This window comes from Homo sapiens, chromosome 4 (assembly GCF_000001405.40).
Source record: "Homo sapiens chromosome 4, GRCh38.p14 Primary Assembly".
NCBI lineage: Eukaryota > Metazoa > Chordata > Mammalia > Primates > Hominidae > Homo > Homo sapiens.
The window spans coordinates 99,570,593-99,586,570 of record NC_000004.12 but is presented as its reverse complement, the minus strand read 5'-3'; the positions used below and the strand labels follow the sequence as shown (position 1 = coordinate 99,586,570).

Genomic DNA, 15,978 nt, shown 5'->3' with positions numbered 1-15,978 from the left:
AATTTCAGAAGGACTTTCAAGGTGTCACATTTCTTGTGGCAGTTCAGTGTGTGTACAAGAGCCATGCTGATTTAGAGAGCAAATCAATGCCCGGAAACAATACAAAATAAAGGTCTGACTCAGCAGCCACGTGGTTAATTTAATCAACACAAAGCCAAAACCAGAAATGGAAATCTGGTAATTATCCAGTTAATTGGAGCAGCATTTCAGGCCTAAAAAAGAATCCATGGTATAACTTGAGGCATCTTTCACTCGTCAGCATTAATCAACGTAATCAGATAACTGTCACGTTTACAACTTAATGATTTGTAGACAAAACTAGAGTTATGCCCACTTATGTAGGGAAGATGAGTGGGCATGGAAAAAAGAAGATGTGCAATGAATATGTATCTAAGTATTTTAATGGACTCTCTTTTAAAATGTAAATATGAGAGCCTCAGATGGGAAAGGGAGACAGGGGGAGGTCTGGAAGGACAAAAATTACATGCTGATGAGCATCCTTGAAATCCCAGAAACTTCAGGAGCACAACTTAATTTGAGCCTGTGGTAGAAAATGCTCTCTAAGAAAATAGCCTGTCCATAGCCTTACTCTGCCTGTCCATAATTTCTCTCATAGTAAACTGAAATGATAATTTAAGTAATGATCTTTCTGACAGTGACATGGCCAAAACTTCCTGTTGGCTTCTTAGTCCTCATTGTTAAGTTTTTTCCAACAAATATTTTATTATATACTTGAAAGATACAATGATGTACTTTAACCTGTGGTTACAGTAAATCATCGCAAATCATAGCTCCTCTAGAATTGGCCCATTGCAGTTATTAAAATAATGATGTGGCAGTTCCATCCCAGCCTTTGAACAGTGAGGGTACTGAGTCCTTTCATGTGTGTAGCAGAAGACTTTGTACTCAGCTGCTACCAAAGGAGCTATAAAATGATTGGTTGTCAGTAAGATTATAAATGCAAATAATATCTATGAACTCAAGTGTCTTGCCACATTGGAAGCTCAGAGAAGAAAATAACAATATTTCTTGTTGTTAACAAAGTTGAGCCATAAGAAAATCAAATAAGTCAACTGATCTCATGATGTAAATAAGGAACACTACAAGTCAACCAAAGAGGCAGGCATTTCTCCAAATACTTTCCAGCTGGAAGACAGTAGGCATAGAAGTTTGAGCATAGACTCTATTTCAAGTCCCAACTCCACCACCTGCCAGTTGTATGACCATAGGCAAATTTCCTAACTTTTCTTAACTTTGGTTCCTCATCTATCACAAGAGGTTGATAAGGCAGCCCTTACTGCTCAGGGCCATTACAAGAATAAAAGAGACAGTTCGTGTAATGCCTTTAGTCAGCACCTAGCACACAGTAAGTGCTTAGTTCATTTTAGCTATTATTAAGTAAACAATAAGTAAAACCTTTATCAAAGTTCAACTCAGTTGAGCCCCATATAATCTTATTTGTTTATCCTTTATTTTAGAAGCATCTATATTCAGTATCCCCTATGAGCAAGGTGCTGAATAGACAGATACAACTCTGCCCATGAGAAACTTATTCTGAATGTGGAGAGCCAAGACATAAAAGGAGAGTGACAATACACTGTGATAAACGCTTTGACAGAAATAGGCCCAGGGGTTTGGAAAGATGTCGGAGAAGGCTTCATAAAATATTCAGTGCAAGGCATAATTCTGGGTGCTTTGGGGAAGGAGGGAGTGGAAGGGCATGGAGGTGAAGGGGAGAGGCTGAAATACAAAGAGGAATTGGATTTTTTTCTATCCAACACCCATAATCTAGCAATGAACACAAATGACCAAAAACAAAGTGATAAGGGTCATGAGTGAGCTGCAAAGTGCTAAGAGCATTCTAAAGAGTGATGGTTATTTCCAGCTGGCTGGAAGGGTATGAACTTTATGACAGAAATGGCATGTGAGCAGTCAGAAACATGGCAAGTATTTTGACAAGTAAAGAAGGAAGAGAAAGCATTCTTGAAGATAGTGATTCATATTTGGTTGTAGGCGAGGTGAAAACACAAGATTTCTTCTTGTGAGTTCCTTTTTAGAACTTCATATAAAAATGTGCATCATGATTAGCAATATACATATATGAAATGTCCAAAGTATTTGTTTTCAAATACTTCAGTTGAAAATAAATAAAGTATTACTTTATCAGTATATAAAGATCAGTTTTTCTTTATTTTGAATTTAGAAAGTGAAATTTCAGAGACGTATGGAATTATAACTCAATGTTCCCTTTCTGTTTTCCTGCTTTTGTTCCTAAAATTGAGCTCTCATCTTTAGACACATTTTTATGTATGTCAACACACTATCTGTAATTTTCATAAACACAAATATGTAATGCCTAATAATCAACTGATCACAATTGTTTCTCAATTCCAAATTTATTTAGACCATTTCAATTGACTAGAATCAAGCCATAAGTAATGCACACATAGAATTTTTAAAACAGATTTTCAAATATATATTATAAAGTGTTCAATCATTATTTTAATATATAAAAGGCTTTTCCATGTCATAGTTTTAAAATAATTTCTAAAGGCTTTAAAAAAACTCTACTTTAGACTTGTCATACCCTTTTAAAATCTTTAACCTTGTACTTTAGCCAGATATCGATAATCTCATAACAAATCAATATTACTAATCTCAGTTGGATCATTTCAGTCTCATAATTTGTCTCCTTTCCTGAATTCATCCAATCATGCTTTGATGACTTGCTTTGTTACATTACGTTTGTAATCCCTTATAATTTGATGAGAAATTTACCTTTTAATAATGCCTTTCATCAATAAATAAATACTTCATTCCACTATAAAGATTTCCAGAAAAATAGGAAACAAATTGGCTAGTAAATGTAAGGGAACTCAGGGCATTGATTCAGTTTGGAAACATTTAATTTACAACCTCTGTTCTTTAGTTCTTGAAGAAATTCCATTTACCATAAAAGTAGTTACAATGTGATTACCTCAAAATAATATCTACTGAAGGGAAGAAAAATATGAAGTTGGAGAAAAAGTTGTGGAATCTAAACGCCCCTTTACCTTTCCATGGATTAGATGAAGGAGCGTAGGTCTTTGCAGAGCTTCCAAGTTTTCCTTTCCCATTATTTTAGATGGGCTTTTTCCTTTGAAGATGCTCTTCTCTCCTCTCTGCTGATTCACATTTTCAACATTTACATCCTTCATCTGGAGTAACAGAAAGAAAGCTGTTAAAAAAAACTTCCTATATCTGTCTTCATCAGAGTATCTCTGAAAATAAAATGATAAAGAAACAGAAAGAGTTGGCCACAATTTCTTCTGTCATTTTTCAATTCATGATTTATAGGACCTTGCCACTCACTTTAAAAGAATGGAGAAGGTATTTAAAAACTAGGTTTTTTAATAAGGCAAAAATAGCAATACTTAAAGAACTCTGTGACTTTAGGCTTAAAATAATTGTGACTTGAGTGTGATTCTTTCCTATCATTGCCACTCTTCATTTGTTTTTTGTGGTTGCTGTCTACCTGATCACTTCACTTTCTTTACCACTTGTTGGAAAGGACCCCTGCCCTATTCTACCTTATCTGTGTAAATAAAAATAAAGTCTAATTACTGAATAAGGAGGAATATAATGTTTTCTGGAGAACAGTTTACTGTTGTATTGAGAAATGGCTCAGAGAGATGGATGATGATGCTTAGATCTAACTTGGAAAACACAAGAGCAATTAGAGACACCCAAAGAAGCAAATATCACTTGTAAATGTATTGCTATGACACCTCAATATAAAGGACACCAGCAACTACTTGTTCCAAGTACTTTGTCCTGTGTACCTGTTTCACACCAAGATGTAGAAGAATAACTGACTTTACTCAAGGAATCTATTATCTTTAGGTTCTTGAGAAGCAAATAAGGGAATCACCATATATTACAATTGGAAAAGTCCCCAGAGACCAACTAATTTGGCCTCCCTTCTCAGCACATAAATCTAAACCATTTTAACTGACCAAACACTGTTATTCAGGGGAGTACTTGGTTCCTTCCTCAGGAAGAACACAGACTAGGTTTACTCTCTCTTCAGTAATTCCACCTGTTGTATCAAGGAATGCAGGAACCTCCTAACTGATCTCCTCTTGAGTTAGAGTGGTCTAAATTGTTTTTCATACAACATGGATTATTGACCCTTCTCTCCCAGAACATTTTGAAAAGACTCTAGTATAACTTCCCTATTAACATGATCTATAGAATTGAACACCATACTCTGGTCGTTTACCAGTATATACCTTCTATTGTCTGTTGCAATAACTTGGAAAGATCAGTTCACTTTTCATCAGCAAAACCTTTAAATACATAGAACTGCTTGTTTTAGTGATAGATAAGAAACTAAATGGATTTATAAACGGGAACCCAATACAAGTGCTGTCCAATGGTACACTTCTCAAAAACTTCTGATATCTAATCTTTGCATTTATCTGGTAGAAAATGCCCACCGTTATTTGGATCAACTGGTCATCATCACCATCAGGATTCCTCCATAGTAAGGCCACATCCACGTTGGAGGAAATGCGGTAGCCCACGCTGTCTTGCAGTTTTCCTTTGCCCCGATCAAGAAGAACTTCAGTGGAGTACGTGAGCTTGTACAGCCGGTCATTATTTAATGAGAGACCAGTTGTGTGACCTGCATAAAGATAATGACACATATCCAGTTTTCATTGTAAGGGAACATGCTGTCTCACCATCAGTGCATCTCTCTACCACAGTGGGGCTCAGGAAGCTTGGTAAATATTCGCTGATTGAAACATGGTGCTACTTCATCTGCTGAAATCATTGACTTGAAAAACATAGATAAACAAACAAAAAACAAACAAATAAACTCCCATTTCAGAGAACCTTAGTTTGTATTCCTAATCACTTATCCGATAGTGCCATGGTTGAACTATAGATATTTTGGGTTTTTTTTTGTTTAAATGCCATTGTATTTCTCTTAATTATATGAACATGATTTCAAGTAGAGGACCCACCAGGAATTGGTTGATAAATTTAATATGAGCCATTCGTAATTAACGTATTATTTAAATGCAAGCAGATCAATGCCAAGGTAGTTTTAGTGGTTAGAAGGAAGTTCTTTAATTTGGACATTTTTGATATTTAAGAAACATCTCTTCAGTGTAATTTACTCTATTAATGTAATTATCAAACTTTTAGTACAAAGGTACATTTCAGCGTTGCACATATGTAACTTTAAATTAGCTGTGCCCGAATAAAATAATGTTTTACTATATGAAATCTTAGTACAGGCTTAAAGTTGGCATGGGGTAATTTAAAAAGATCAAATAGTATACAAATCTGTACTGTGAGCCAAGAAAACTGATGTATGAATGAGTTCACACAGTATCCAATTCAGTTTACCTAGCCCAAAGAAATGCCAAGGAGCAAGTCTTTCCCAGAGATGACTTAAAATGTATGGTCACATAAATCTTTTTTCTTTTGTATATTTTCTATGTATGGCTCTCAGGAGATAGTTAAAAAAGACTTCAGTTTACCTTATTCCTCAATGCTAATGGGGTTGCATTGCCCAGTTTACTATGACACGCAACCATAATCTTTTTTTCTCTCAGGAAATATACATATGGGGAGAGGGACAGAAAAGGGGTTTGGGGTGACTAGACAAGAAGCAAAGCAGCTGAGAAAGGTGATAGCAAAAATTACTTTGCAATGCCTGAAAAGGCCTTACCCACCTACACAGTAACAATCTGTTCACTGTCTCCTCTACATATGACAGCACGTACTTGCCCAGAGGAAATGGTGGTCAAAAATCCATCATCTGCATGTTACATGTATTAACTTATTTAATCCTCACAAAAATCTAATGAGGTAGGCACTATTATTAGTCTCATTTTATAGATGAAGAGACTGAGGGGACACAGAAACTATATAATTTACCTAAGGTCACCCAGGTAATTCATCATAGAGACATGATTCTTTTTTTTTTTTTTTTTTTTTTTTTTGAGACAGAGTCTCACTCTGTCGGCCAGGCTGGAGTGCAGTGACACGATTTCAGTTCACTGCAACCTCCATCTCCCAGGCTCAAGCAATTCTCCTGCCTCAGCCTCCTGAGTAGCTAGTAATACAGGTGTGTGCCACCACGCCTGGCTAATTTTTGTATTTTTAGTAGAGACGGGGTTTCACCATGTTAGCCAGGCTGGTCTTGAACTCCTAACCTCAGGTAATCCACCCACCTCGGCCTCCCAAAGTGATTATAGATGTGAGCTACCACGTCTGGCTGGAGATATGATTTTAATCCAGGCTGTCTGTCTCTAAAGATGATGCTCTTATCTATACTATATATCTCTAAAACTATAGGTTGAATTATTTTCCATTCCTAGGCAGTGAGCTAGAAATTTATTCATTCATTCAACTAGAATATAGTGAGTACCTGTTGAATAGTAAGTACTTTTTAAGGCTCTGGGACTACACCAGTTAACAAGCAGAGAAAGGCAGAGAAAGTTTCTTCTTCTTTCTTTACTTTTTTTTTTTTTTTTTTTTTGAGACAGGGTCTCACTCTGTCACCCAGGCTGGAGTGCAGTCATGCGATCTCGGCTCACTGCAACCTTCATCTCCAGGCTCAAGTGATCCTCCCACCTCAGCCTTCTGAGTAGTTGGGACCACACACTCACGCCACTAAGCCCAGTTAATTTTTATATTTTTGTAGAGATAGGGTTTTGCCTTGTTGGCCAGGCTGGTCCTGAACTCCTGAGCTCAAGCAATCCACCCACCTCACCCTCCCAAAGTGCTGGGATTACAGGTGTGAGCCACCGCACCCAACCAGCAGACAAAGTTTCTACCTTTTGTAAATTTAATACCCTTTGTAAATTTTCTACCCTTTGTAAATGTAAATTGGAAGGTACATTTAAATGCGATGGAGAAGGGCAATAAAAAAATGAGTACATAAGCAAGTTATATAGTATGATAGAAGTGCTCATAAAGAAAACTGAAGCAGGAAAGGGAATGGAGATGCTGAGAGAAAAACCTCTGTGGAAAGGTGACATTTTGGACAAAGGTTTTCGGTGAGCTACATGGATATCTGTGGGAAGGGCATCCCCCTCCCCCAACTCCTACCCTTTCTACCCCTTCCCCTCACAGAGGAAACAGCAAGTGCAAAGGCCCCGAGGAGGGCTCCTGCAGGTGTAATGGAGGAAGAGCAGGGAGACCAAAGAGGCTGGAAATAAATAAGTAAAAGACACAGTGAAGGAGACAAGGTAAAGGAGGTACCTATGGGTGGCAGGAAGATTTGGGGAGTTTGAGTGAGATGGGACGCTGCCATAGAATTTTGGGTAGTGAAGTCACATAATCTGTCGAACCTTCAAAGAAAAGGGACAAGCATTTTCATAGGAATCAAGAAGAGCCAGGAGAAGGAAGTATGAAAGGATCTATGTGTATACACAAAACCAAGCTGTGTCCAAGCACCAAGTCAGGCAGAAACTGAGGTGTGAGACACAGAAGGCAAAGAGAGTCAGGAAAAACCTTGAAGGGGATGAAGACTGGGATTCCCTCTTATCTCTATGTCTTCTGCATTGTAATTGGGGACTCTATAGCGGGTTCAAATACTGGCTTTCTGGTCAGGAAAAATATTTCGGTCAGGAGGCCTTCTTTTTATGACACCTATCAAATTCCACATAGGGCATAAAGGAAATACATGTTGTCTTATCTAATCCTCAGAGCAATTCTGAAAAGTAAGCATTGTGTGACAGCAGATAGAAGCTGACCCCAAGTTCAACCCAACATAGCAAATATAATGCAGATTTGATGTTTAAATTTACCAAAATCCAAGTTCTGTGGACTATATTAAGGTGTCCTCTGGTTAAAATAACTACGAAACATTTGTAGGAAGGTAACCTTTCTTAAATTCCAAAGCTTTCCAAACTATTATGTTATTCACTTCTTTTCTTACCTCTACTTTACTGGCCATATAATAAATCAATTTTTGACTATGAGTAGGAAATGTTAAAGCACAGAAAAGAATGGGCCCTTTATTCCTCCAAACTGTTTCCTACCTCTTTCAACAGGAGATAAAGCCTAAAACGGTTCAAATAAGGTGGACTGTGCTAGAGTGTCATCCTCTTATACTTTCCTTTTTGATAAGTATTTCTCTGTTTATGCTTTGCAGAGATCTGGCAACACTGGGCATTGGGGCATGTCCCATTTATATTGTTGACTTAATTCCTTTTGTAGGATAGTGCTCTTCAGAGTATGTATAGTAATATTTTTTGATAACTGTTGTTAGATAAAACCAAAACAGAAAGTAATATTAGCCAAAAAAGTCAGAATCTCTTTCATTTGCCCTTCAAGTGCATTTAGAATTTTTAAGTGACTTAAAAGCAACAAAACTGTTAGTTTTGAATCTTCAAGAAATATTTTTTAAATACTCCTTTGTCAGATTTATATGAGTACAATCACTGATAACTGGCTTAGTCAAGAAGACAAAGCAGAGCTGAGTTATTGGTGAGGTTTGAAGAGACATGCAGTGATGATAAGGGTGATAGGTAATGGCATTTATGAACCCAACAGAAAACTAAAGGGTCAGAAGTTAAAAAAGAAGATGAAGGGTAAGAAGAAAAAAGAACTGGAAGATGATTAATAAAAATTGACTAAAAAGTAAGGGTGGGGTGAGGGATTGAGAGAAAGACTGGAAATGAAGGAAGTGTACAGGTTTAAAGGTGACAAAATTAAATAGAAGGTAAAAATACTATATAAGGAAAACACAGAGAAGGCGCTGAAAATAGTCCAACCATGACAAAGTATAATTAAGAAAAAGTAGGGAAAACTTGAGTCTTTAGAAAGTTCACACAGCAAATCATATAGATGTGCTCTTTTATCCTAATCCTAATACCCTCTTCAGATTCCAATCTGCCATTCAATTTTCCTTTTTCTTTTCTTCCTTCCTTTCTTTCTTTTCTTTCTTTTTTTTTTTTTTTTTGAAACAGAGTTTCGCTCTTATTGCCCAGGCTGGAGTGCAATGGTGTGATCTCAGCTCACTGCAACCTCCACCTCCCAGTTTCACGCAATTCTCCTGCCTCAGCCTCCTGAGTAGCTGGGATTACAGGCATGCGCTACCATGCCTGGCTAATTTTGTGTTTTTAGCAGAGATGGGGTTTCTCCACGTTGGTCAGACTGGTCTCGAACTCCCAACCTCAAGTGATCTACCCACCTTGGCCTCCCAAAGCGCTGGGATTACAGGCATGAGCCACCACACCCAGCCTCAATTTTCTTTAGATTCTAACCTGCCCTTCAACATCCACCCAGATCTGAGGATTTACCAAACAGTTGCATTGGTAATTTAGAGATGAGTTTTGAGGCAATGAGGCATGGGATCCCCAAATTTTAAATGGACTGATTTTAAGGTAAACTCTTCACAAGTTGTTTGCTAATTAATGTCAGTTGTTACAAGGGCAAAGAATCTATAATTAAATCATGGTACCATAATGCAAAAAGTTATTCCATCTAGGTAAAGAAGCTCTCAAGTTGTACACTTTTAATTTATGATATCAGCATAAGCAACGTACCATGATGCTGATGAAGCTTAAGCTCTCTTGCCCAGGATCCTTCCAAAGACTCCAGAAGTGGACCCTAGCAATGTATCCACATGCCATATCTTTTTCAGTAACCTTTGCAATAGTAAGATATTTTTGTAATCTTTTCTCAAAAGTGGCCCCTAAATTATATATGTTTCAAGCTTTAAAAATCTAGATTTACTACTAAGCTTGTTTACAATAAACTGTAGCTACCTATAATATTCTAAACCACATTTTCTCATTTATGCCATTTCCCAATTATGCCATTGTCTAGTGTATGTGTATATTTAAATTTTTTTTTTTTTTTTTTTTTTTTGAGACGGAGTCTCGCTCTGTCGCCCAGGCTGGAGTGCAGTGGCGGGATCTCGGCTCACTGCAAGCTCCGCCTCCCGGGTTCACGCCATTCTCCTGCCGCAGCCTCCCAAGTAGCTGGGACTACAGGCGCCCGCCACTACGCCCGGCTAATTTTTTGTATTTTTAGTAGAGACGGGGTTTCACCGTTTTAGCCGGGATGGTCTCGATCTCCTGACCTCGTGATCCGCCCGCCTCGGCCTCCCAAAGTGCTGGGATTACAGGCGTGAGCCACCACGCCCGGCCTTAAATTTTTTATAAGTATATTTGAAAACATGAGGTCACCCAATGTTCTAGTTTATAAAATGGGAAAACAGGAGAAGCTCATGATAAGTACCATGTCTCAATTATTTTTCTCAAAATACTTATGGTATTAGGTTTGATACTATGGTATTTAAATCACACATATTTTGACTACTCAACAGTTTATTTGGCAGATGAAATAGTAAGTCCTCTATATAACACTCTCAGTCAGATATAATTTATAAATCTTCTTCTCATTAAAAAATTTCTTTTGTCCAAGTAAGAACTGTATGTTTAAATAGTAAATATTTAGAAATTGGTGAAAATATTTTCTTTAGTTCAAGAACCTACAGTGTGATTTGCTGAGGTGAATTGGTTTAAATTTAACCCTCTATTGCTCCAATAATGAAGATTAGGTTTTTTTCCTCATGTGGAAATTTTCTACACAAAAAATCCTGAGGCAAACTTTACTTTAATATCAAAAGCCACATTTATCCCTAACAGGTTTTATAAGTTTATAAGTGAATTGTTTTCTATCAATTACTTAGAGTACATGGTTTTAAAATTGGTCCCTATAACGCTATGTTGTTATATCAATTGGTTTTTAACAGTGTGTCTTCCTAAGAAACTAAAAAGTGATCATTTTACACAATGCAGCATTTGGAAAACCGATGTTTATAATGTAGCTGATCTGAAACATGATTCTATATTAATACACTTCACAACAGTTTTATGAAACCATTCCTCATAAAATGTTTTTTCACTTGCCTTTTCAATGGTATTAATTCATATGTATTTTTAAAATTAATTTCATCTTAAAATAGAAACTGTAAGTAGCAACATTATTTTTCCAAAGATAATGTCTTATTTCTTAAATCTGTATCAGGAAATTTAATTTTCTTTAATTCACTATGAATTCTATCATTTTTTAATTGTAACGGAATTAAATATATGTTGTGCCATTTCATTCATAATTCTTTGGCAAATCAAATGCCTTTTTCATTGGGTCTAATTCTTCTTGAGGTCACATTGCTAAGCAACTAAAAGAAAATTTAAGAACTCGGTTTTTAAAAAAAATCCTCATTTACAATTCAAATGAAGGAGCTGCATTCAATGTGACCAACAACAGCAGGTAACAATAGTGGGTATCTTTTTTCCTTCTTTTAAAAACAGACCATGAATGAGAAATTGAAGCAAGAACACACTGGTCTGAGGAACTGAAACTAAAAGAAATATCTGTTTTCTTAATGTTTGTAGGGATTTGAATTTGGTTTTCATTTCAACTCAGCCATGCTTTCACAAACATTCCAAAGTTACATGGTTTTGAAGATAGTTTAGTCAGAAACTCTTTCACTATTCACTCACACAAACACACACACACGCACGTATCTGCCTCCAACTCCAAAGATGGAAATTAAAGTTTAGCAAAAGGCAACACAAACTTACCTTTAACAGAAGCTGAATATGAGGAAATGAAGCAGAGAAAAAGCACAGCAAGAAGAATCATATTGACCAGCAATCCTCAACTGCATCCAGTGCCCAGCTAGGAGTCACTGAGAAGTGGACTCTTTCAATGGCAGCCAGTGAGGGAGTGACCCTCTTCAGAACCTGCAACAATCATGTTTATCTTTGGGGAAAGGTCAGACTCCAAACTCCAAAATCAGGACCTAAGTTCACTGAAGGGCTCACTATTAATGATTAAACGTAGGTGGGCTGCAGTTTTCAGTCTCTCACTCTTTTTAATTTTTTTCACCCAATGAGGAAACTTTAAATGTTTTCACTTTTGAGAGCTAAACCAAACCAGTCTACCATCCTATAAATGCAGAAGTACTGAGGGGCATTCAAAGAAAAAAACTGGTGGTGATACTTCTTTCTGCTTAATACATAATCATCATTATGCCTGTAATAGTAACTGCCTATATTCACATTACAATACTATGTGGGAGGGTAGTAAGGATTCTCAAACTCTGCTAAACCTAACCAAATTTTAATTTTTCTTGTATGGACATCTTTGAATTTTTATGCTATTATAAAAAATTCACACTGAATTTTAGGATTTAAATTTAAACTGTTAATTCATACCACCACCAATCACTTCAAAATAATGTTAAAGTAGATAGAACTTTCATGAAACATAGATGATTGTCCTTATGTGTGAAACTGTATGAGGTTGGAGCAAATCAGCATTGTCTGTCATTAGCACACTAGCAAGCCAATTATTTCATAGTAGACCTCTATTTGTGTCTGTGACAACACACATTTGTCTGAGTTCCCAAACAGGCTGGATGCAGTCCTGTCCTTTCTGAATCTCATTTCTAGGAAGAGATTAAGAGGGGGAATTCCAGATCTTAGTTCTTTTGCTACAGAATATTAATTAGAAAACTTCTGTAGAATTAAAGCAAATACCCTAGTATGGCTAAGGCCATACTAACTGAAGCAATCCTTGTCCCTGGAAACTCCCATGAGAGAGACCTGATATGAACAAAACCTACTAACCCTACTAGAGCACATAAAGCCTGCTAAACCTACTAAACCTATAAAATGAGGTGACTTAGGCCGCCTGTGGGAATGTTTTGGCAAAGAAGGGAAAAAATGTGCCAGCAAAGGGCTATTTGAATGTATTTAAAAATATTTATGGCCATATTTTAGTATAAAATGAATTCTTAAATCTATCCTGGTCACTCTCAAAACCCTTTTCTCAAACCGTAACCTTGAGCTTAAATCTTCCAGACAATCTAGGTAAAAGATAGTAGACTTGATACAGACACAATGCAATTTAAAATGTAAAAATCTACAAAGTTAAGCATATTTCCTCTTGAATTATATATATGAAGATCGAAACATGAAAATTGTTTGTTCTTCTATTGGGATTAGAATTTCATTTGCTGTCACAAATTTTGTATAAAAAATATAGCTATAGTACCTAGCAAAAATAAATTGTTTGGTTGGAGAAACCCCCTTAAGTTATAAATACGAAGTTTTCCGGGAGTTAAACAGAAAAGTAGCTTTGTTAAAGAAATATAAGTTTTTATGAAGAGTAGGGATTTTGAATACAAGGCAATGTGAAAGTGCTTTGTTACTTTCCATTTGAATAGATTTCTACAGTTTGCCACAATTTCTGTGATACATACATAGGGATATAAAATCATTATAGTCACTTGAACTTTACTTACATATTTATTTAAATTAAAAGCTAGTTTGTATTGTATTTGATTGTATGAGAGCTGTCCTTATGTATTTTCATTTGAGGCTCACAGTTACAAGACCTTTAATGTTTGTGGTTAGGCTATGTGGTGCATGATACGTGCCCTTCGGGTAAAGTACTATTCGTTGTCAAGTGTTTTCCAGAGTCCAACCAATAAAAGACATATCACTATTGCCTAACAAACTAAATTCTATTTCATTTGAGCATTTGATTTCCACTAGAAAGCTCCTATGAGTCACTGTATTAAGTAGCAATTTCAACATAAGATGTTCAAATAAGGCTGCTTCTGCTGGTTATAAATAACATCATCCTTTTATAAAATATAAACATAACTTTTTTCTTTTTACAAGGACATTTTAGAAAAGACTTCTGGAGATTGTTTCATTACAGATGACATAAGAATGCCAAAGCCTTTCCAAATTCAGTAAACTCTGTGTATCGAAGAAGTATGCTCTTCTGTTACTGTTGATCGTCCACAGCAAACACTGTGCAAACATGTGAGCACTACCTCCTAAAACTCACCAGCTATTTTACATAATATGTGAAGCAGGGCAGAAGCAAAGCACAGTAAAAAAACAAGAGCTGCCATCTATGGAACAATTACATACTTTGTTAATCACCTTACGTTTTTATAATAATCCTTACAACAGTCATTTGACATATTAGAAAAATGAGTCTCAGATTAATTTACTGAAGTGATATTAGGACTACAGAAAAATAAACCTTGAAACCTAGACCCAAGTATTCTTCTTTGCTTAAAAAAAATTACAGGTGGGGAGTGAGAAAAAAATTGATTTCTTACAGATGACATGCAATTGTTAATTGGGACTGTCTTCATAATAAGTCATCACAATTTTGTATGAAAACTAACAGAGCCCTTGATTTTTGTGAAATTGTGGTTAGACATTCAGGCTGAACATACAGGGGTAAAACTGATCTATGATAGTTAGATCAAAATCAAATGATACATTTCAAAACAATGCTATTGCAATGAAATTCCTTAGGTAGTACATGACACTGTGAAATATTTGCTATACTTCCATTTGCATTGATAAATAAGGAGACTATGAAATAAAGATGGATGATTAATTCCAAAGTACAGTTGTGTTTCTGTTGAGTGTCAGAGGTTGTCAGGAGTTAACGTATTTTCTTAGATTAGAAGACAAATGAACTTCACCCCACTAAAGGTTGGAAGGAAATGTATTACCCTACTAGATATAGAAAGTCAGGATGTATGAAAGCTATGTGAAAAAACAGTCTGTTTATAACATTGAAACACTTTGTTCTTAGAAAGAAGCATGACATTAATGAAAAAAAAATTTAGAAGGACACTTTAAGTTATCCCTACATGGTCATAATAGTTTAAACTCTAAAAGTATTTTCAAATCAATGAGGGAGTTAGCATTTTGAAAGAATCTTGAAAAAATTTCTTAAGTTAAAAATATTCTTAATGTGATGACTTTTTTTATTCCAAGGCAAAATTATATAGGAATACATACAATATTTTGAAAGGTATTGTTTAAAAATTCTCTACGAGAAAATAAAGATTCACTGAATTCCTTATCAAAAGCAAACTTGGTTTGAAACACTGGGAATCTAAAACTCCAAAAAGAACATTCATTTTTCCAAAATAGAGTCACTAACCAAATTTTCTACCCCCTATACATATATACGCACATACAAATTTGACAACAACCAAAAAAATCCTTTGTATCATATCAGTTACCATAAAAGGATTCTAAATTATCTTTGACCACACAAAACTGAATTGCTAGCATTTAAAGGAGAGAATTGATGTAAACTCTTTTAGTAGACTACTGTAAATACAATAAGATTTTAATTTTGATCAGAATAAATTTATCAGACATTTAAAAAAAGAAATTTCAAAACCTAAAATATAATAATATCCAAGTATAAATGCAATTTTCCTTTTAAAGTATATACGATACAACAATTACATTTATGAACTAATTCTTAATATGTAGATATAAAAATATGAATTTATTTGAAGTGGAACAAGAAGCCAATTGTTTTAAATAATTACCAAAATAAGAAAATAAAAAATGTTAAAGAGAGGTCAAGAGATATAGAGGATAGAGTGAGTGGTGCAAAGGCAATATTTGGGGAATATATTTGAAGAATTTCCAAGAACTATTGAAAGGCACTGTATCAGTTCTCCATAGCTACCATAACAAATTACCACAAAACTTAGTGGCTTAAAACAGCAGATTTATTGTCTTATACTCTTGGAGGTCAGAAGTCTAACACTGGTCTCACAGGGATAAAATGAAAGTATTGGCAGGTGTATCCCTTTCTGGAGGCTTTAGGGGAGAATTTGTTTCTTACCTTTTCTAGCTTCTAGAAGCTACCTGCATTCCTTGACTCGTGGTCCCTTCCTGCATTTACAAATCCAGCAAGAGTAAGCTGAATCCTTTTTACTTCATATCACTCTGACCATCTCTTCTGTCTCCCTCTTCCGTTTTATGAATCCTTGTGATTATACTGGGCCTGCCTAAATAATCCAGGATAATCTTTTTACCCTGAGGTCTGTGGATTGGTAACTTTAATTTCATCTACAACCTTAACTTAGACTATCACAGGTTCTGGAGATTAAGACAT

General features: G+C 35.7%; 1 protein-coding gene across 3 annotated transcripts in view; it reads right to left on the bottom strand.

Moving 5' to 3' along the window:
* MTTP (microsomal triglyceride transfer protein) overlaps positions 1-15,978 on the bottom strand; it is a 59,868-nt gene that overhangs the window by 37,427 nt on the left and 6,463 nt on the right. The window contains exons 2-4 of one of the 3 annotated variants that reach the window (NM_000253.4): positions 11,601-11,762; positions 4,479-4,666; positions 3,054-3,197 (exon numbers count right to left, since the gene is read on the bottom strand). In NM_000253.4, coding sequence (NP_000244.2) covers positions 3,054-3,197; positions 4,479-4,666; positions 11,601-11,661 — 393 coding nt within the window. In that variant the 5' untranslated portion in view covers positions 11,662-11,762. Of the gene's footprint in view, positions 1-3,053; positions 3,198-4,478; positions 4,667-11,600; positions 11,763-15,978 lie in introns of those variants that run through there. The other 2 variants (NM_001386140.1, NM_001300785.2) reach the window with 2 other exon arrangements.